This window comes from Homo sapiens, chromosome 14, assembly GCF_000001405.40.
Source record: "Homo sapiens chromosome 14, GRCh38.p14 Primary Assembly".
Classification (NCBI taxonomy): Eukaryota; Metazoa; Chordata; class Mammalia; order Primates; family Hominidae; genus Homo; species Homo sapiens.
Genome location: NC_000014.9, coordinates 37,351,040 through 37,374,248, shown reverse-complemented (window position 1 = coordinate 37,374,248; position 23,209 = coordinate 37,351,040). Strand labels below are relative to the sequence as shown.

The 23,209-nt window shown below is 37.5% G+C and overlaps 1 protein-coding gene across 13 annotated transcripts in view; it reads right to left on the bottom strand.

The window, feature by feature from the left end:
• MIPOL1 (mirror-image polydactyly 1) overlaps window positions 1-23,209 on the bottom strand; it is a 354,425-nt gene that overhangs the window by 178,113 nt on the left and 153,103 nt on the right. For 10 of the 13 annotated variants that reach the window (NM_001195296.2, NM_001195297.2, NM_138731.7 and 7 more), the window contains one exon: window positions 4,625-4,732. The exons of the other annotated variants lie outside the window; for them this stretch is intronic. In NM_001195296.2, the coding sequence (NP_001182225.1) occupies window positions 4,625-4,732 (108 nt within the window). The remainder of the gene's footprint in view (window positions 1-4,624; window positions 4,733-23,209) is intronic. 13 annotated transcript variants of the gene reach the window in all.

Genomic DNA, 23,209 nt, shown 5'->3' with positions numbered 1-23,209 from the left:
TACCCCCCGAAAAACAAACAACCCCATCAAAAAGTGGGCAAGGGATATGAACAGACACTTCTCAAAAGAAGACATTTATGCAGCCAACAAACATATGAAGAAAAGCTCATCATCACTGTCATTAGAGAGATGCAAATCAAAACCACAATGAGATACCATCTCATGCCAGTTAGAATGGTGATCATTAAAAAATCAAGAAACAACAGATGGTGGAGAGGATGTGGAGAAATAGGAACGTTTTTACACTGTTGGTGGGAGTGTAAATTAGTTCAACTATTGTGGAAGACAGTGTGGTAATTCCTCAAGGATCTAGAACTAGAAATACCATTTGGCCCAGCAATCCCATTACAGGGTATATACCCAAAGGATTATAAATCATTCTACTATAAAGACACATGCACACTTATGTTTATTGTGGAACTGTTCACAATAGCAGACTTGGAACCAACCCAAATGCCCATCAATGATAGACTGGATAAAGAAAATGTGGCACATATACACCATGGAATGTTATGCAGCCATCAAAAAGGATGAGTTTATGTCCTTTGCAGGACATGGACGAAGTTGGAAATCATCATTCTCAGCAAACTAACACAGGAACAGAAAACCGAACACCACATGTTCTCACTCATAAGTGGGAGTTGAACAGTGAGAACATATGGACACAGGGAGGGGACCATCACACGTGGGGGCCTGTTGGGGGTTGGGGCGCTAGGGGAGGAGAAATACCTAATGTGGATGATGGGTTAATGGGTGCAGCAAGCCACCATGGCATGTGTATACCTGTGTAACAAACCCTCATGTTCTGCACATGTACCCCAGAACTTAAAGTATAATTTAAAAAAAAAAAGGATAGAAAGGCAATATATATGAATTTTCTTACTAAGTTTGATGTCTACATATTTACATCTAATGCAAATTTATTTTAAAAACATTATATGTTTAAGGCTGGGCTTGGTGACTCATGCCTGTAATCCCAGCACTTTGGGAGGCTGAGGCAGGCAGATCACTTGAGGCCAGGAGCTCGAGACCAGTGTGGGCATTGTGACAAAACCCCGTCTCTACTAAAAATACAAAAATTAGCCAGCGTGGTGGTGCATGCCTGTAATCTCAGCTACTCAGGAGGCTGAGGCCGGAGAATGACTTGAACCTGGCAGGCAGAAGTTGCAGTGAGCTGAGATCGAGCCACTGCACTCCAGCCAGGGCGACTGAGTGAGACTGTTTCAGAACGAAGAAACAAACAAACAAAATCACATGTTCAAAAACATGTTCTTCCAGAAACTAATTTCTTAACATAAGTAGATAAAATTTACTTTAAACAAGAAAATAAGCTGTTTTTTAAAAAAAAGTAACTTTCAGAATATATACTAGTATCAGTATAATTCAGTCCCTTATCCTATAGATACCACTGTGTTTTACTTGTTATTAGAGAAAATAGAAAACATAAAAGTAGGAGAAACAGTGCTATGCCTAGCAATTTTTTTTTTTTTTTTTGAGACGGAGTCTCACTCTGTTGCCCAGGCTGGAATGCAGTGGCACAATCTCTGCTCACTGCAACCTCTGCCTCCTGGGCTGAAGCAATTCTCCTGCCTCAGTCTCCTGAGTAGCTAGGATTACAGGCACCCACCACCACGCCTTGCTCATTTTAGTATTTTTTAGTAGAGACGGGTTTTCATTATGTTGGCCAGGCTGATGTAGAACTCTTGACCCCAAGTGATCCACCCATCTCAGCCTCCCTAAGTGCTGGGATTACAGGTGTGAACCACCACGCCTGGCCTGCAAAATTATCTAGTGTAATTGCCTCCTATGTTAAAAAGAATGCTTATAAATGATCACCAAAAATCTAATCTTAGTCTCTACCATAAAAAGTCATTTAGAAAAAGATCTCTGGTTATTAGAACAAATAAAGACATTATTATTAAAATGACACTAGATTATTAAAAAGTATTTCCTTACGTGATAACTGATTTTGCCATAATTATTTTGGAAAGTTCCATGTAATCTATGACCATTAATTGTGATTGTATTCCCCCAAATATATCTCTAGAACTGAAATTCCTTTAGGAATTTCAGTGTAATTCAATAAAATAAACCATGAATTGCTCAGTTTTTACCCTACTCAAGTTGAATTTAATAGTGATATTAATAACAGTACTATTTATAATAAAATACTAAAAATATTATTGGCAGACTGAAAGCTTTAGAGACAGTGAATCGTTTTTAAAGAGTTGTTCCTGACACTTATTAGATACTAACTAAATATTAAATCAGTTAACCAAAAAATGATACTTACAAATAAGTTGTAAAAGATAAACATATTGCTCAGAAAGGAGGCAAACTGTTCTCACCAGATAGCTTGGTAGTAAACTTATTATTCATAACTCATATGACAACTTAAAGGTACATAGTGCTATAATTAATGCATCAAATAAAAAACAAAAACTTCCTGGAAGGTAAGAGTAATTTTTAAAAAATGATTCAGAATAAAGCAAATGTTTTATAATTGACCTAATTTTCAGAACAACTTTAGAGCTTCTCATGAGGAAATATGGCATAAAATTAATAAAAAATTATTCAGTCAGTGTTATGCAAGACAGACCATTTTAAAACAAGCTTAAATGAACACAGATGCTTAAAAAAGATTGAGTTGATGAGTTTTAAAAAATTAATTCTTCCTCTCATCTTCACCAAGAATTTAAGCTAGCTTATTAATGAATGTTATGAAGGATTAAAAGACAACAGAAAAATTTCAGACTTTTGCAAAAAAAAATGAGCAACTAGAAAAGATTTTAATATAGTATATTTGTCAAGAGTGAAAATATAGCTACATTGTTTTAAATTAGATAGTAGTCTTCAGTTAGCAGAAATTTCTATCTTATGAGGGTTTAATATTTGTTTTCAACTTATCTATTTCCAGCCTGGCCAACATAGTGAAACCTCGACTCTACTAAAAACACAAAAATTAGCCAGGCTTGGTGGTGGGCACCTGTAGTCTCAGCTACCCGGGAGGCTGAGGCAGGAAAATCACTTGAACCCAGAGGGCAGAGTTTGAAGTGAGCCGAGATCACACCACTGCACTCCAGTCTGGGCAATGGAGCAAGACTGTCTCAAAAAAAAAAAAAAATTATTCCATCTATTTCTTTATTTCTCTCCATAAATAGCAGCTATCATTTCATTAAATTAAACAGAAACACACAACCAGAAGTGCCAGAATAAAGATCATGAAATTAATATATACTTAACAAACTAGAATTTTTATCTTAGGTGCTGTTTTAAATGGAGACTGCCATATCATATTAAGCCCATTAAATCTGTCCCCTAACACTGACAATAAATTAGCACACATTATGGAAGCTGCTTTTCAAATACTGTTTTCTATTTTGCAAGTATACATTTTAAAAATTATTATTAGTTTTCATAAAATAGTAAATTCCTTGGGGGTAATTAGAAATAATCACAGCAATCTATAATTTGTTCCTTTCTCATGTATTGTTTTCATCTATCTAAAGAAGAAAAGTGCATTAGACAAATATAACAAAGTTATTATAAGCCTACCACTAAGAATATCAAAATGAAGTTAAATACATTTTGTGGAAAAACCTGACTTCCACCAAATCTCGTACTTCTTAGACAGATTAAAAATATTTTCTACATTAAAATGTCACCATTTTCCTCAATTTTGGTACATGATTCCAGCTTAGTGAATTACACAGCTAATGCCATGATATTGCTCTGTAATATGCAGCAAAAAAACAAATTTAAGACAGCAAAGTAGAATATAATATTCTTGGTAGCAAATCTTTTCTTATTGTACAATAAAAACTGATGAATCTTTTCTGTTTCTCATGGATTTCTTTTTTTAAACCTTAACAGGTTAGCATGAGAATGCAAGCACCTTGAGGGTAGAGACAACTACTGTGTACAGGCACTATACTGGGAACTAGGCAAAAGATAAAAAGTAGAATGAAAAGTCACAAGCACCTTAAGAAAAAAATACAATTAGTAGAATTAAAACCATGTCCTTTTTCATAATTACTCGATCTATAATACAATGAGACAGAACTTTTTGTCATGAAATGTGTATTTCACTTGTTTAAAGTTCTAGTTGAATTTATTATTTACCATCTTTCTCTCTCTTTTATTGTAACATTCTAAGTACCTCTTCATTTCCCAAACACGCTCTTCAAACACATATTCATTTCCCAAACACATATTCTTCAAGGACTGTCAGTTCTGTGAATATTACAAGTCCTTTTAAAAATTATTATAATAAATATTGATGCAAAGCAAAGGCCCATGATTTAATTTTTTTTCTTTTAGTATGGTCACTTTTTATTAACTACAAAAGGTAATGATATAAAAAAGAAACAGAATAAACATTTACCAAAAGTTATTAATATACCACCACTCAAAATTCAGAAAATGTGTTGTTTTCACGTACACATACGTGAAATAAAATAATACCATAACAAAAGGGTGCTGTATCTGTGTTTAAAGAAGGGGTTGTTGGCAAACACCACAGCTCACTTCTGCTGAAATGTACACAACTGATATATGCAGCACAGAAAGCTGGCACCAAGGGCTTACAACCTTAATTTGCCTGCAAGAAGGAACGGAGATTTACCTTCAGAGCACGTTCTTGATTGTTTTCAGCAGTCAGATGTCTCATGTTGTTTGCTGAAGTCTGGTTCTGCTCTTTCACATGATGAAGCTCCTGCTCTAACCGTTTGCACTGCCACAGGGGAAGAATCCCATTAAGTAAAGGAGTTATAGCATTTTTTTTCACCAAGCCACATGAATTAATGTAAATAATATCATTGTATTCTCTAAAAGACAAGGTTTTTTTTTTGCAACAAGAATGGTAAGTAAAAGTAATGTTAAATACAATAAATAAAAACATTGCTTACAGTATTCTAAAAATTCAATTATAATTTTCAGTTAGTTTATTAATCTGAATGTTATATAAATCACAAAAATAGTTTTATAAAATTAAGGTCAAACCATATTTAAAATTATTTACTTCTTTGACCAAATGGTTCTGATTATCTATCTGTTGGTTGAATAAAACTGTGCTTCTAAAAATCATATTGGATTCTAAACAAACTACAATATGATATTGTATGATCACATTTTATTAATATTTAAAAATAAAAATTATAAGGTATATGTTCAGAAATATTTCTAGATTTTAGAAATATCTAAGGAAACAATTTTATAGGGAAAAAAGCAATAGCCAAAGAGTGCCAAGACTTGGAAATAGATAAAGAATTGAGTGTTTTTAATTTCTCCCATTTTGACCAAATTTTACTTTTAAGTAAAAGTGGTTAACAGATATGTGAAATGACCACTTTCACCTATTTGGAATACAAGTAAAGAATATAAGAGAATATAAGTAAAAATAATAAGTTAAAGTTTCAATGAGCCAATAGAAGCATCTATGTTCAAAAAATTTTTGAAATATCTTGCCATTTGAATATAAGATTTCAATATAAATATGTAAAACACTTCACATAATAATTACACAGGCTATAAAATGGGGTGCTGCAAATCAGGACAATAGGAAGACACATGGGGGATTAAAGAAATAAAGTACTAAACACACCATTGAGGAAAACATTAAAAACCATTCCTTAATTTATCTATTTTAAAATTAGAATATTTACAAAACAACTAATAAGGACACATACTGATTTAAGATCTGGAAAAAGTTCTTTCTAGATTATTTGACAAATGGATAGTTGTCATAATAGATGAATAAAAAATCATTACTTATTATGTTACAATCATGACGCAGCTATCATCCAAAATGACATTTCTTACTACTCTGATTTCTTCTGCCTCTGACCCAAATCATATTAGGCAGTACGTATCAATATTTCACAACTTTGAGTATACAAAATGTTTTAGAAGAAAAAGTCTTACCAGACTCCTGATATTGACTTAGATTGCAAAATGATGTTTGTGTACAAATATGAAATTGAGTATACACACTTCATACATATATAATACAATTATAAAATCAAAACACACTTAAAAATAAATAAAATAACCATAATATCAAGGCATTTTTAATCAACATTAATTTAATTTAGCAGATAGTTTTGTTGAAACTAAATTCTCCAAATATGATAAAATACTGACTCAGTGCAGATTTTTTTACATTGCCATGTCTATTCCATCATCAGCTGTATGATAACTTAATTCACCTATCACATTTTTAAAAATTTACTTGAAAATTTTGTGACACATATTATGTGGTATTTATTTTCAGGAGACACATGATCTACATATTAAACTGTGTCTCTGTCTTTTATAGCCAGTAACAAAATATTTGGTCAGAATGCAATCAAATCACAGTGTGTGTTACTAAGGACACAAATTATGACCCGAGAAAATGAACACGGCATAGCACTAACTGTACTATCGTGTGTACTCACGATACAGTAGAGATATTCTCTACTAAATTATCCTTTACATTTTCAATTAAATTTAATATAAAATTATTAAGATTAAAATGTAATAACTAAGTAGGACCTATAAGGATTCAAAGGTGGGGCAGATTATTTTGGCTATGGGAGAAAGAACGTTTCATGGAGCTGCTGACATCTGAGTTGGGCTTGTTTTGGGAATGTGATTTTGTAAGCTGACATGGAGAAAGAAGAATACAGGAGAAAAGAAATGAAAGTAGAAACTTAAGAAGTGTATCTGAAGAAAAAGAGGAAGCATGGTCAAGAGTTGTGTGACCACCTATTATTTTCATTCCAAATAAATTAGAAATCACCCAGGAATAGGGATTTTTCCAAACTACATGGTAGAAACATAAAAAATTCACTCATTCATGCTCAAGAAATAAATGCTAAGTGTTCTTGTAAAATAAATATTTGTAGCATATTTAACTACATTAAATGTTTATTTAAATTTATGTAATCCTATATTATTTCTTCATTTGACATTATCCTTGAAAATCCTAACACATTCCCCACAATTGCATATTTATGCATAATTTATACTGGTTTGTTTCTTTTTACTTTTATTAAACTCTGCAATTTTGAAATTTATTTTGAAGCAATGGGATTGAACAGTTTATTCATCAGGAAGTGGCATAGTATATTAATTACTGTCACTCTATAATTTCATAAAATAGTTATAAAGCAGATAAAGATACTATCCTTTAATCACATCTCAAATTTTATTGATATTCTCACCAAATTCATTTGTCAAAATGTTTATATTTTTAATTGTTAAATTTGTCACTAAAATGATACAGAAAGGGCAGGAGTAGCTATGCTTATATCAGACAAAACAAATTTCAAGACAAAAACTCTAAGGAAAGACAAACAAGGTCATTATATAATGATAAAGTGGTCAATTCAGCAAGAGGATGCAGCAATTTTAAATATATATGCACTCAACATTCGAGCATCCATATATATATAAAGCAAGTATTATTAGAGCTAAAGAGAGATATAGGCTCCAATACAATAATAGCTGGATATATCAACATCCCACTTTCAGAGATGAACATATTTTCCATAAAGAAAATCAACAAAGAAACTTCGGACTGAATCTGAACTACAGACTAAATGGATCTACTAGACAGTTACGGAACATTTCGTCCAACGGCCGCAGAATGCACATTCTTTTCCTCAGCACAAGGATCATTCTCATGGGTAGATCATATGTTAGGTCACAAAACAAGTCTTAAAACATTAAAAAAACTGAAATAATATCAAACATCTTCTCTAACCACAATAGAAGAAAACTAGAAATTAATAACAGGAGGAATTCTGGAAACTACACAAACACACCAAAATTAAACAATATGCTCCTGAATGACCAGGGGGTCGATGAAGAAATTAAGAAGAAAACTGAAAAACTTCTTGAAACAAATGATAATGGAAACACAACATTGACTACAGGATACAGCAAAAGTAGTACTAAGAGGGAAGTTTATAGCGGTAAGAGCCTACAGCAAAAAAGAAGAAAAACTCAAACAAACAACCTAACAATGCATCTTAAAGAACTAGAAAAGAAAGAGCAAACCAAACCCAAAATTAGTAGAAGAAACAATAAAGATCAGAGCAGAAATGAATAAATTTGAAATGAAAAAAAATACAAGAGATCAATATAACAAAAGCCAGACTAAGAAAAAAGGAGAGAAAATCCAAATAAGTAAACTCAAAGATGAAAAGAGATACTATAAACAATATGACAGAAATTCAAAGGATTATTAGTGGCTACTATGAGCAACTATATGCCAATAAATTGACAAATCTAGAAGAAATGGACACATTCCTAGACACAAACAACCTACTGAGATTGAGCCAGGAAGAAATCTAAAACCTGAACAGACCAAGAGCAAGTAAAGAAATCGAAGCCATAATAAAAAGTATCCCAGTAAAGAAAAGCCTTGGACCTGATGGCTTCACTACTGAATTCTAATAAATATTTATAGAAGAACAAATACCAATCCTACTCAAACTATTCTGGAAAACAGAAGAAGAGGGAAGACTTCCAAACACATTCTACAAGGCCAGTATTATCATAATACCAAAACAAGACCAAGACACATCAAAAAAAGAAAACTGTAGGCCAATATCTCTGATGCATATTGATGCAAAAATCCTCAACAAAATACTAGCAAACGTGGTCAACAATACGTTAAAAAGATCATGCATCATGACTAAGTGGGATTTATCCCTGGGATGCAAGGATGATTCAACATACGCAAATCAATCAATGTGATACATCACATCAACAGAGTGAAGGACAAAAACCATATGATCATTTCAATAGATGCTGAAAATGCATTTGATGAAATTTAACATCCCTTCATGATAAAAACACTCAAAAAATTGGGTATAGAAGGAATGTACATTAACATAATAAAAGCCACATATGAGAGACCCACAACAAACATCATACTGAATGGGGAAAAACTGAAAGCCTTTCCTCTAAGATCTGGAAAACAACAAGGATGCCCACTTGCACCACTGTTATTCAACATAGTACTGGAAGTACTAGCCAGAGCAATCGGACAAGAGAAAGAAATAAAGGGCATCCAAACTGGAATGGAAGAAGTCAAATTATCCTTGTTTGCAGATGATATGATCACATATTTGGAAAAACCTGAAGATTCCACATACACACAAAAAAACTGTTAGAATTGATAAATTCAGTAAGGTTGCAGGATACAAAATCAACATACAAAAATCAGTAGCATTTCTATATGACAACAGTGAAAAATCTGAAAAAGAAATTTTAGAAAACACTCCCATTTATCACAGCTACAGATGAAATTAAATACCAAGAGATTAATTTAACCAAAGAAAACTATAAAACACTGATGACAGAAATTAAAGAGAACACCAAAAAATGAAAAGACAGTCCTTGTTCATGGATTGGAAGAGTCAATATTGTAAAAATGTAGGTGCTACCCAAAGCAATATACAGATTCAATGCAATCTCTATCAAAATAACAATGACATTCTTCACAGAAATAGAAAAAACAATCCCAAAATGTATATGGAACCAGAAGAGATTCAGAAGAACCAAAGTTACCCTAAGCAAAAAGAACAAAACTGGAGGAATCTCTTTACTTCACTTTAAATTATACTACAGAGACAGAGTAAACAAAACAGTATGGTTCTGACATAAAAACACATAGACCAATGGAACAGAATAGAAAACCCAGAAACAAATCTACACACCTACAGTGAACTAATTTTTAACAAAAGTGCCAAGAACATACACTGGGGAAAAGACAGTCTCTTCAATAAATGGTGCTGGGAAAACTGGATTTCCATATGCAGAAGAATAAAACTAGACAACTAACCCTTGCCATATACAAAAATCAAATCAAAATGGATGAAAGACTTAAATCTAAGACTCCAGATTATGAAACTACTACAGAAAATATAAGGGAAAATCTCTAGGACATTGGTCTAAGCTGGTCTAAGCAAAAATTTCTTGGTTTCTGTTCCAAGACAGCCAAATAGGAACAGCTCCAGTCTGCAGATCCAAGTGTGATCCACGTAGAAGACTGGTGATTTCTGCATTTCCAACTAAAGTACCCAGTTCATCTCATTGGGATTGGTTAGACAGTGGGTGCAGCCCACAGTGGGTAAGCCAAAGCAGGGCAGGGCGTCACCTCACCCAGGAAGCGCAAGGGGTCAGGGGGATTTCCCTTTCCTAGCCAAGGGAAGCAGTAACAGACTGTACCTGGAAAAATGGGACATTCCGGCCCAAATACTGTGCTTTTCCCATGGTCTTAGCAACCAGCAGACCAGGAGATTTTCTCCCACGCCTGGCTCGGGGGGTCACATGCCCACGGAACATGGCTCACTGCTAGTGAAGCAGTCTGAGATGGACCTGTGAGGCTGCAGCTTGGCTGGGGGAGGGGTATCCGCCATTACTGAGGCTTATGTAGGTAAACAAAGCGGCCAGGAAACTTGAACTGGGCAGCGCCCACCACAGCTCGGGAAGGCCTACTGCATCTATACACTCCACCTCTGTGGGCAGGGCATAGTTGAACAAATGGCAGCGGACAACTTCTACAGACTTAAATGTCCCTGTCTGATAGCTCTGAAGAGAGCAGTGGTTCTCCCAGCACGGCATTTGAGCTTTGAGAATGGACAGACTGCCTCCTCAAGTAGGTCCCTGACAATCATGTAGCCTAACTGGAAGACACCTCCCACTGGGGCCGACAGACACCTCATACAGGTGGATGCCCCTCTGGGATGAAGCTTCCAGAAAAAGGAACAGACAGCAATATTTGCTGTTCTGCAATATTTACTGTTCTGCAGCCTCCACTGGTGATACGCAGGCAAACAGGGTCTGGAGTGGACCTCCAGCAAACTCCAATGGACCTGCAGCTGAGGGACCTGACTGTTAGAAGAAAAACTAAGAAACAGAAAGGAATAGTTTCAACATCCACAAAAAGGACACCTACACCAAAACCCCAACTGTAGGTCAAAAACATCAGAGACCAAAGGTAGATAAATACATAAAGATGGGGAGAAACCAGAGCAGAAAAGCTGAAAATTCTAAAAACCAGAGTGCCTCTTCTTCTCCAAAGGATCGCAGCTCCTCACCAGCAATGAAACAAAGCTAGATGCAGAATGACTTTGACAAACTGACAGAAGTAGGCTTCAGAAGGTCAGTAGTAACAAACTTCTCCAAGCTAAAGAAGCATGTTCTAACCCATGGCAAGGAATCTAAAAATCTTGAAAAAAGGTTGGACGAACAACTAACTAGAATAAACAGTGTAGAGAAGACCTTAAATGACCTGACAGAGCTGAAAACCATGGCACAAGAATGTCGTGACACATGCACAAGCTTCAATAGCCGATTCAATCAAGTGGAAGAAAGGGTATCAGTGATAGAAGATCAAATTAATGAAATATAGCGAGGGGAGAAGTTTAGAGAAAAAAGAGTAAAAAGAAACAAACAAAGCCTCCAAGAAATATGGGACCATGTGAAAAGACCAAATCTACATTTGATTGGTGTACCGGAAAGTGACGGGGAGAATGAAACCAAGTTGGAAAACACTCTTCAGGATATTATCCAGGAGAACTTCCCCAACCTAGCAAGGCAGACCAACATTCAAATTCAGGAAATACAGAGAGCACCACAAAGATACTGCTTGAGAAGAGCAACCCCAAGACACGTAATTGTCAGATTCACCAAGGTTGAAATAAAGGAAAAAATGTTAAGTGCAGCCAGAGAGAAAGGTCAGGTTACCCACAAAGGGAAGCCCATCAGACTAACAGTGCATCTATCGGCAGAAACCCTACAAGCCAGAAGAGAGTGGGGGTCAATATTCAACATTCTTAAAGAAAAGAATTTTCAACCCAGAATTTCATATCCAGCCAAACTAAGCTTCATAAGTGAAGGAGAAATAATCCTTTACAGACAACCAAATGCTGAGAGATTTTGCCACCACCAGGCCTGCCTTACAAGAGCTCCTGAAGGAAGCACTAAATATAGAAAGGAACAACCAGTACTAGCCACTGCAAAAACATGCCAAATTGTAAAGACCATTGATGCTATGAAGAAACTGCATCAATTAACGGGCAAATTAACCAGCTAACATCATAATGACAGGATCATATTCACACATAACAATATTAACCTTAAATGTAAATGAGCTAAATGCCCCAATTAAAGGACACAGACTGGCAAATTGGATAGAGTCAAGACCCATCAGTGTGCTGTGTTCAGGAGACCCATCTCACATGCAGAGACACACATAGCTCAAAACAAAGGGAAGGAGGAAGATCTACCAAGCAAATGGAAAGCAAAAAAAGCAGGCATTGCAATCCTAGTCTCTGATAAAACAGACTTTAAACCAACAAAAGTCAAAAGAGACAAACAGCACTTTGAAAGGCCAAGGCGGGCAGATCACAAGGTCAGGAGATTGAGACCATCCTGGCTAACATGGTGCAACCCGGACTCTACGAAAAATACAAAAAATTAGCTGGGCATGGGGGTGGGTGCCTGTAGTCCCAGCTACTCGAGAGGCTGAGGCAGGAGAATGGCATGAACCCGGGGAAGGCGGAGCTTGCATTGGGCCGAAATCGAGCCACTGCCCTTCAGACTGCGAGAGAGGCAAAAAAAAAAAAAAAAAAAAAAAAAAAGAGAGAGAGGGAGAAACAAAAAAGGCCATCACATAATGGTAAAGGGAACAATTCAACAAGGAGAGCTAACTATCCTAAATATATATGCACCCAATACAGGAACACCCAGATTCATAAAGCAAGTCTTTAGAGACCTACAAAGAGACGTAGACTCCCACACAGTAGTAATGGGAGACCTTAACACCCCACTGTCAATATTAGACTGATCAATGAGAGAGAAGGTTAACCAAGAGAGAGAAGGATATCCAGGACTTGAATGCAGCTCTGCACCAAGGGGACCTAATAGACATCTACAGAACTCTTCACCCCAAATCAACAGAATACATATTCTTCTCAGTACCACATTGCACTTATTCTAAAATTGACGACATAATTGGAAGTAAAGAATTCCTTAGCATATGTAAAAGAACAGAAATCACAACAAACTGTCTCTCAGACCACAGTGCAATCAACTTAGAACTCAGGATTAAGAAACTCACTCAAAACTGCACAACTACATAAACGCTGAACAACTGCTCCTAAATGACTACTAGGTAAATAATGAAATGAAGGCAGAAACAAAGATGTTCTTTGAAACCAGTGAGAACAAAGATACAACGTAACAGAATCTCTGGGACACATTTAATGCAGTGTGTAGGCGGAAATTTATAGCACTAAATGCCCACAAGAGAAAGCAGAAAAGATCTAAAATTGACATCCTACCATCACAATTAAAAGAACTAGAGAAGCAAGAGCAAACACATTCAAAAGCTAGCAGAAGGCAAGAAATAACTAAGATCAGAGCAGAACTGAAAGAAATAGGGACACAAAAAACCCTTCAAAAAAATCAATGAATCCAGGAGCTGGTTTTTTGAAAAGATCAACAAAATTGATAGACTGCTAGCAAGACCAATAAAGAACAAAAGAGGGAAGAATCAAACAGACGCAATAAAAAATGACAAAGGGGATATCACCACCGATCCCACACAAATACAAGCTACCATCAGAGAATACTATAAAAACCTCTACGCAAATAAACTAGAAAATCTAGAAGAAATGGATGAATTCCTGGACACGTACACCCTCCCAAGACTAAACCAGGAAGAACTTGAATCTCTGAATAGACCAATAACAGGCTCTGAAATTGAGGCAATAACTAATAGCCTACTGAACAAAAAAGTCCAGGACTAGATGGATCACATCCGAATTCTACCAGAGGTACGAAGAGGAGATAGTACCATTCCTTCTGAAACTATTCCAATCAATAGAGAAAGAGGGAATCCTCCCTAATTCATTTTATGAGGCAACATCACCCTGATACCAAAGCGTGGCAGAGACACAACAAAAAAAGGGAATTTTAGACCAACATCCCTGATCAATATGGATGCGAATATCCTCAATAAAATACTGGCAAACCGAATCCAGCAGCACATCAAAAAGCTTATCCGCCAAGATCAAGTCGGCTTCATCCCCGGGATGCAAGGCTGGTTCAACATATGCAAATCAATAAACATAATACATCACATAAACAGAACCAATGACAAAAACCACATGATTGTCTCATTAGATGCAGAAAAGGCCTTCGACAAAATTCAACAGCCCTTCATGCTAAAAACTCACAATGAACTAGACATTGATGGAACGTATCTCAAAATAATAAGAGCTATTTATGACAAACCCACAGCCAATATTATACTGAATGGGAAAAAACTGGAAGCATTCCCTTTGAAAACCGGCACAAGACAAGGATGCCCTCTCTCACCACTCCTATTTAACATAGTGTTGGAAGTTCTGGCCAGGGCAATCGGGCAAGAGAAAGAAATAAAAGATATTCAATTATGAAAAGTGGAAGTCAAAGTTTGCAGATTACGTGATTGTATATTTAGAAAACCCCATCGTCTCAGTCCAAAATCTCCTTAAGTTGATAAGCAAATTAGGCAAATTCTCAGGATACAAAATCAATGTGCAAAAATCAAAAGTATTCCTATACACCAATAACAGAGAGCCAAATAATGAGTGAACTCCCATTCACAATTGCTACAAAGAGAATAAAATACCTAGGAATACAACTTACAAGGGATGTGAAGGACCTCTTCAAGAAGAACTACAAACCACTGCTCAAGGAAATAAAAGAAGAGACAAACAAATGGAAGAACATTCTATGCTCATGGATAGAAAGAATCAATATCATGAAAATGGCCATACTGCCCAAGGTAATTTATAGATTCAATGCTATCCGCATCAAGCTACCACTGACTTTCTTCACAGAATTGGAAAAAAACTACTTTAAAGTTCATATGGAACCAAAAAAGAGCCCACATTGCCAAGACAATCCTAAGCAAAAAGAAGAAAGCTGGAAGCATCACGCTACCTGACTTCAAACTACACTACAAGGCTACAGTAACCAAAACAGCACGGTACTGGTACCGAAACAGATATATAGACCAATCGAACAGAACAGAGGCCTCAGAAGTAACACCACACACCTACAACCATTTGGTCTTCGACAAACCTGACAAAAACTAGCAATGGGGAAAGGATTCCCTGTTTAATAAATCGTGCTGGGAAAACTGGCTAGCCATATGTAGAAAGCTGAAACTGGATCCCTTCCTTATACCTTATACAGAAATTAATTCAAGATGGATTAAAGACTTAAATATTAGACCTAAAACCATAAAAACCCTAGAAGAAAACCTAGGCAATACCATTCCAGACATAGGCATGGGCAAGGACGTCATGACTAAAACACCAAAAGCAAGGGCAACAAAAGCCAAAATTGACAAATAGGATCTGATTAAACTAAAGAGCTTCTGCACAGCAAGAGAAACTACCCTCAGAGTGAACAGGCAACCTACAGAATGGGAGAAAATTTTTGTAATCTACCTATGTGACAAAGGGCTGACATCCAGAATCTACAAAGAAATTTAACAAATTTACAAGAAAAAGGCAACCCCGTGAAAAAGTGGGCAAAGGGTATTAACAGACACTTCTCAAAAGAAGACATTTATGCATCCCACAGACACATGAAAAAATGCTCATCATCACTGGTCATCAGAGAAATGCAAATCAAAACCACAATGAGATACCATCTCACACCAGTTAGAATGGCAATGATTAAAAAGTCAGAAAACAACAGATGCTGGAGAGGATGTGGAGAAATAGGAACGCTTTTACACTTGGTGGGAGTGTAAATTAGTTCAACCATTGTGGAAGACAGTGTGGCAATTCCTCAAGGATCTAGGACTAGAAATAACATTTGACCCAGTGATTCCATTGCTGGATATATACCCAAAGGATTATAAATCATGCTGCTATAAAGACACATGCACAGGTATGTTTATTGCAGCACTATTCACAATAGCAAAGATTGGAATGAACTCAAATGCCCATCAATAATAGACTGGATTAAGAAAATGTGGCACATATACACCATGGAATACTATGCAGCCATAAAAAAGGATGAGTTCATATCCTTTGCAGAGACATGGATGAAGCTGGAAACCATCATTCTCAGCAAATTTTCAGAAGGACAGGAAACCAAACACTGCATGTTCTCACTCACAGATGGGAATTGAAAACTTAGAACACTTGGACATAGGGCAGGGAACATCACACACGGGGGCCTCTCAGGGGGCAGGAAGCTGGGGGAGGGATAGCATTAGGAGAAATACCTAACATAAATGACGAGTTGATGGGTGCAGCAAACCATCATGGCACATGTATAACTATGTAACAAACCTGCACATTGTGCACATGTACCCTAGAACTTAAAGTATAATTAAAAAAACAAAAAAAGAAAAAAATATTTCTTGAGCAATACCCCACAAGCACAGGCAACCAAAACAAAAATGGACAAATGAGATCCCATCAACTTAAAAATCTTCTGCACAGCAAAGGAAACAATCAATAAAGAGAAGAGACAACCTACAGAATGGGAGAAAATATTTGCAAACTATCCATCTGACAAGGAATTAACAACCAGGATATATAAGGAGCTCAAACAACTCTATTGGAAAAGATCTAATAACCTGATTTTTTTTAAAAAGACCAAATAATTGAATAGACATTTCTCAAAAGATGACATACAAATGGCAAAGTGGCATATGAAAAGGTGTTCAATATCACTGATCATCAACGAAATGCAAATCAAAACTACAATTAGATTATTGTCTCACTCCAGTTAAAATGGCTTTTAACTAAAAGACAAGTAATAACAAATGCTGGTGAGCATGTGGAAAAAGGGTGAAAAGGGTGAACATTTCTTGAGCAATATCCCACAAGCACAGGCAACCAAAGCAAAAATGGACAAATGGGATCACATCAAGTTAAAAATCTGCACAGCATAGGAAACAATCAACAAAGTGAAGAGACAATATGGGAGAAAATACTTGCAAACTGCCCATCTGTTGGTGAGAATGTAAGTTAGTACAATCACTATGGAGAAAATTTTGGAGGTTCCTCAGAAAATTAAAAATAGAGCTACCATATGATCCAGCAATCCCACTACTGGGTATATACTCCAAAGAAAGGAAATCAGTATATTGAAGAGATATCTGCACCTCCATGTTTGTTGCAGCACTGTTCACAATAGCCAATATTTGGAAGCACCCTAAGTGTTCAACAGATCACTGGATAAAGAAAATGTGGCACATGTATACACAGTGGAGTACTATTCAATCATAAAAAAATGAGATCCTGGGGGGAGGAGCCAAGATGGCCGAATAGAAACAGCTCCGGTCTACAGCTCCCAGCGTGGCCGACGGGGAAGACAGTGATTTCTGCATTTCCATCTGAGGTACCGGGTTCATCTCACTAGGGACTGCCAGACAGTGGGCGCAGGTCAGTGGGTTCGCGCACCGTGCGTGAGCCGAAGCAGGGCGAGGCATTGCCTCACTCGGGAAGCGCAAGGGGTCAGGGAGTTCCCTTTCCGAGTCAAAGAAAGGGGTGACGGACGGCACCTGGAAAATCGGGTCACTCCCACCCGAATACTGCGCTTTTCTGACAGGCTTAAAAAACAGCTCACCATGAGATTATATCCCGCACCTGGCTCGGAGGGTCCTACACCCACAGAGTCTCGCTGATTGCTAGCACAGCAGTCTGAGATCAAACTGCAAGGCGGCAGCGAGGCTGGGGGAGGGGCGCCCGCCATTGCCCAGGCTTGCTTAGGGAAACAAAGCAGCCTGGAAGCTCGAACTGGGTGGAGCCCACCACAGCTCAAGGAGGCCTGCCTGCCTCTGTAGGCTTCACCTCTGGGGGCAGGGCACAGACAAACAAAAAGACAGCAGTAACCTCTGCAGACTTAAATGTCCCTGTCTGACAGCTTTGAAGAGAGCAGTGGTTCTCCCAGCACGCAGCTGGAGATCTGAGAACTGGCAGACTGACTCCTCAAGTGGGTCCCTGACCCCTGACCCCCGAGAAGCCTAACTGGGAGGCACACCCCAGCAGGGACAGACTGACACCTCACACAGCAGGGTATTCCAACAGACCTGCAGCTGAGGGTCCTGTCTGTTAGAAGGAAAACTAACAAACAGAAAGGACATCCACACCAAAAACCCATCTGTACATCACCATCATCAAAGACCAAAAGTAGATAAAACCACAAAGATGGGGAAAAAACAGAACAGAAAAACTGGAAACTCTAAAAAGCAGAGCGCCTCTCCTCCTCCAAAGGAACACAGTTCCTCACCAGCAACGGAACAAAGCTGGATGGAGAATGACTTTGACGAGCTGAGAGAAGAAGGCTTCAGACGATCAAATTACTCTGAGCTACAGGAGGACATTCAAACCAAAGGCAAAGAAGTTGAAAACTTTGAAAAAAATTTAGAAGAATGTATAACTAGAATACCCAATACAGAGAAGTGCTTAAAGCAGCTGATGGAGCTGAAAACCAAGGCTCGAGAACTACATGAAGAATGCAGAAGCCTCAGGAGCCGATGCGATCAACTGGAAGAAAGGGTATCAGCGATGGAAGATGAAATGAATGAAATGAAGCGAGAAGGGAAGTTTAGAGAAAAAAGAATAAAAAGAAATGAGCAAAGCCTCCAAGAAATATGAGACTATGTGAAAAGACCAAATCTACGTCTCATTGGTGTACCTGAAAGTGACAGGGAGAATGGAACCAAGTTGGAAAACACTCTGCAGGATATTATCCAGGAGAACTTCCCTAATCTAGCAAGGCAGGCCAACGTTCAGATTCAGGAAATACAGAGAACGCCACAAAGATACTCCTCGAGAAGAGCAACTCCAAGACACATAATTGTCAGATTCACCAAAGTTGAAATGAAGGAAAAAATGTTAAGGGCAGCCAGAGAGAAAGGTTGGGTTACCCACAAAGGGAAGCCCATCAGACTAACAGCAGATCTCTCAGCAGAAACCCTACAAGCCAGAAGAGAGTGGGGGCCAATATTCAACATTCTTAAAGAAAAGAATTTTCAACCCAGAATTTCATATCCAGCCAAACTAAGCTTCATAAGCTAAGGAGAAATAAAATACTTTACAGACAAGCAAATGCTGAGAGATTTTGTCACCACCAGGCCTGCCCTAAAAGAGCTCCTGAAGGAAGTGCTAAACATGGAAAGGACAACCGGTACCAGCCGCTGCAAAATCATGCCAAAATGTAAAGACCATCAAGACTAGGAAGAAACTGCATCAACTAACGAGCAAAATAACCAGCTAACATCATAATGACAGGATGAAATTCACACATAACAATCCTAACCTTAAATGTAAATGGACTAAATGCTCCAATTGAAAGACACAGACTGGCAAATTGGATAAAGAGTCAAGACCCATCAGTGTGCTGTATTCAGGAAACCCATCTCACGTGCAGAGACACACATAGGCTCAAAATAAAAGGATGGAGGAAGATCTACCAAGCAAATGGAAAACAAAAAAAGGCAGGGGTTGCAATCCTAGTCTCTGATAAAACAGACTTTAAACCAACAAAGATCAAAAGAGACAAAAAAGGCCATTACATAATGGTAAAGGGATCAATTCAACAAGAAGAGCTAACTATCCTAAATATATATGCACCCAATACAGGAGCACCCAGATTCATAAAGCAAGTCCTGAGTGACCTACAAAGAGATTTAGACTCCCACACATTAATAATGGGAGACTTTAACACCCCACTGTCAACATTAGACAGATCAACGAGACAGAAAGTCAACAAGGATACCCAGGAATTGAACACAGCTCTGCACCAAGCAGACCTAATAGACATCTACAGAACTCTCCACCCCAAATCAACAGAATATACATTTTTTTCAGCACCACACCACACCTAATCCAAAATTGACCGCATACTTGGAAGTAAAGCTCTCCTCAGCAAATGTAAAAGAACAGAAATTATAACAAACTATCTCTCAGACCACAGTGCAATCAAACTAGAACTCAGGATTAAGAATCACACTCAAAACTGCTCAACTACATGGAAACTGAACAACCTGCTCCTGAATGACTACTGGGTAGATAACGAAATGAAGGCAGAAATAAAGATGTTCTTTGAAACCAACGAGAACAAAGACACAACATACCAGAATCTCTGGGACACATTCAAAGCAGTGTGTAGAGGGAAATTTATAGCACTAAATGCCCACAAGAGAAAGCAGGAAAGATCCAAAATTGACACCCTAACATCACAATTAAAAAAACCAGAAAAGCAAGAGCAAACACATTCAAAAGCTAGCAGAAGGCAAGAAATAACTAAAATCAGAGCAGAACTGAAGGAAATAGAGACACAAAAAACCATTCAAAAAATTAATGAATCCAGGAGCTGGTTTTTTGAAAGGATCAACAAAATTGATAGATCGCTAGCAAGACTAATAAAGAAAAAAAGAGAGAAGAATCAAATATACGCATTAAAAAATGATAAACTGGATATCACCACTGATCCCACAGAAATACAAACTACCATCAGAGAATACTACAAACACCTCTACGCAAATAAACTAGAAAATCTAGAAGAAATGGATAAATTCCTGGACACATACACTCTCCCAAGACTAAACCAGGAAGAAGTTGAATCTCTGAATAGACCAATAACAGGATCTGAAATTGTGGCAATAATCAATAGCTTACCAACTAAAAAGAGTCCAGGACCAGATGGATTCACAGCCGAATTCTACCAGAGGTACAATGAGGAACTGGTACCTTTCCTTCTGAAACTATTCCAATCAATAGAAAAAGAGGGAATCCTCCCTAACTCATTTTATGAGGCCAGCATCATTCTGATACCAAAGCCAGGCAGAGACACAACAAAAAAAGAGAATTTTAGACCAATATCCTTGATGAACATTGATGAAAAAATCCTCAATAAAATACTGGCAAACCGAATCCAGCAGCACATCAAAAAGCTTATTCACCATGATCAAGTGGGCTTCATCCCTGGGATGCAAGGCTGGTTCAATATACACAAATCAATAAATGTAATCCAGCGTATAAACAGAGCCAAAGACAAAAACCACATGATTATCTCAATAGATGCAGAAAAAGCCTTTGACAAAATTCAACAACCCTTCATGCTAAAAACTCTCAATAAATTAGGTATTGATGGGACATATTTCAAAATAATAAGAGCTATCTATGACAAACCCACAGCCAATATCATACTGAATGGGCAAAAACTGGAAGCATTCCCTTTGAAAACTGGCACAAGACAGGGATGCCCTCTCTCACTACTCCTATTCAACATAGTGTTGGAAGTTCTGGCCAGGGCAATTAGGCAAGAGAAGGAAATAAAGGGTATTCAATTAGGAAAAGAGGAAGTCAAATTGTCCCTGTTTGCAGATGACATGATTGTATATCTAGAAAACCCCATTGTCTCAGCCCAAAATCTCCTTAAGCTGATAAGCAACTTCAGCAAAGTCTCAGTATACAAAATCAATGTACAAAAATCACAAGCATTCTTATACACCAACAACAGACAAACAGAGAGCCAAATCATGAGTGAACTCCCATTCACAATTGCTTCAAAGAGAATAAAATACCTAGGAATCCAACTTACAAGGGATGTGAAGGACCTCTTCAAGGAGAACTACAAACCACTGCTCAAGGAAATAAAAGAGGATACAAACAAATGGAAGAACATTCCATGCTCATGGGTAGGAAGAATCAATATCGTGAAAATGGCCATACTGCCCAAGGTAATTTACAGATTCAATGCCATCCCCATCAAGCTACCAATGACTTTCTTCACAGAACTGCAAAAAACTACTTCAAAGTTCATATGGAACCAAAAAAGAGCCCGCATCGCCAAGTCAATACTAAGCCAAAAGAACAAAGCTGGAGGCATCACACTACCTGACTTCAAACTATACTACAAGGCTACAGTAACCAAAACAGCATGGTACTGGTACCAAAACAGAGATATAGATCAATGGAACAGAACAGAGCCCTCAGAAATAACGCCGCATATCTACAACTATCTGATCTTTGACAAACCTGAGAAAAACAAGCAATGGGGAAAGGATTCCCTATTTAATAAATGGTGCTGGGAAAACTGGCTAGCCATATGTAGAAAGCTGAAACTGGATCCCTTCCTTACACCTTATACAAAAATCAATTCAAGATGGATTAAAGACTTAAACGTTAGACCTAAAACCATAAAAACCCTAGAAGAAAACCTAGGCATTACCATTCAGGACATAGGCATGGGCAAGGACTTCATGTCTAAAACACCAAAAGCAATGGCAACAAAAGACAAAATTGACAAATGGGATCTAATTAAAGAGCTTCTGCACAGCAAGAGAAACTACCATCAGAGTGAACAGGCAACCTACAAAATGGGAGAAAATTTTCACAACCTACTCATCTGACAAAGGGCTAATATCCACAATCTACAATGAACTCAAACAAATTTACAAGAAAAAAACAAACAACCCCATCAAAAAGTGGGCAAAGGACATGAACAGACACTTCTCAAAAGAAGACATTTATGCAGCCAAAAAACACATGAAAAAATGCTCATCATCACTGGCCATCAGATAAATGCAAATCAAAACCACAATGAGATACCATCTCACACCAGTTAGAATGGCAATCATTAAAAAGTCAGGAAACAACAGGTGCTGGAGAGGATGTGGAGAAATAGGAACGCTTTTACACTGTTGGTGGGACTGTAAACTAGTTCAACCATTGTGGAAGTAAGTGTGGCGATTCCTCAGGGATCTAGAACTGGAAATACCATTTGAGCCAGCCATCCCATTACTGGGTATATACCCAAAGGACTATAAATCATGCTGCTATAAAGACACATGCACACGTATGTTTATTGCGGCATTATTCACAATAGCAAAGACTTGGAACCAACCCAAATGTCCAACAATGATAGACTGGATTAAGAAAATGTGGCACATATACACCATGGAATACTATGCAGCCATAAAAAAGAATGAGTTCATGTCCTTGGTAGGGACATGGATGAAATTGGAAATCATCATTCTCAGTAAACTATCGCAAGAACAAAAAACCAAACACCGCATATTCTCACTCATAGGTGGGAATTGAACAATGAGATCACATGGACACAGAAAGGGGAATATCACACTCTGGGGACCGTTGTGGGGTGGGGGGAGGGGGGAGGGATAGCATTG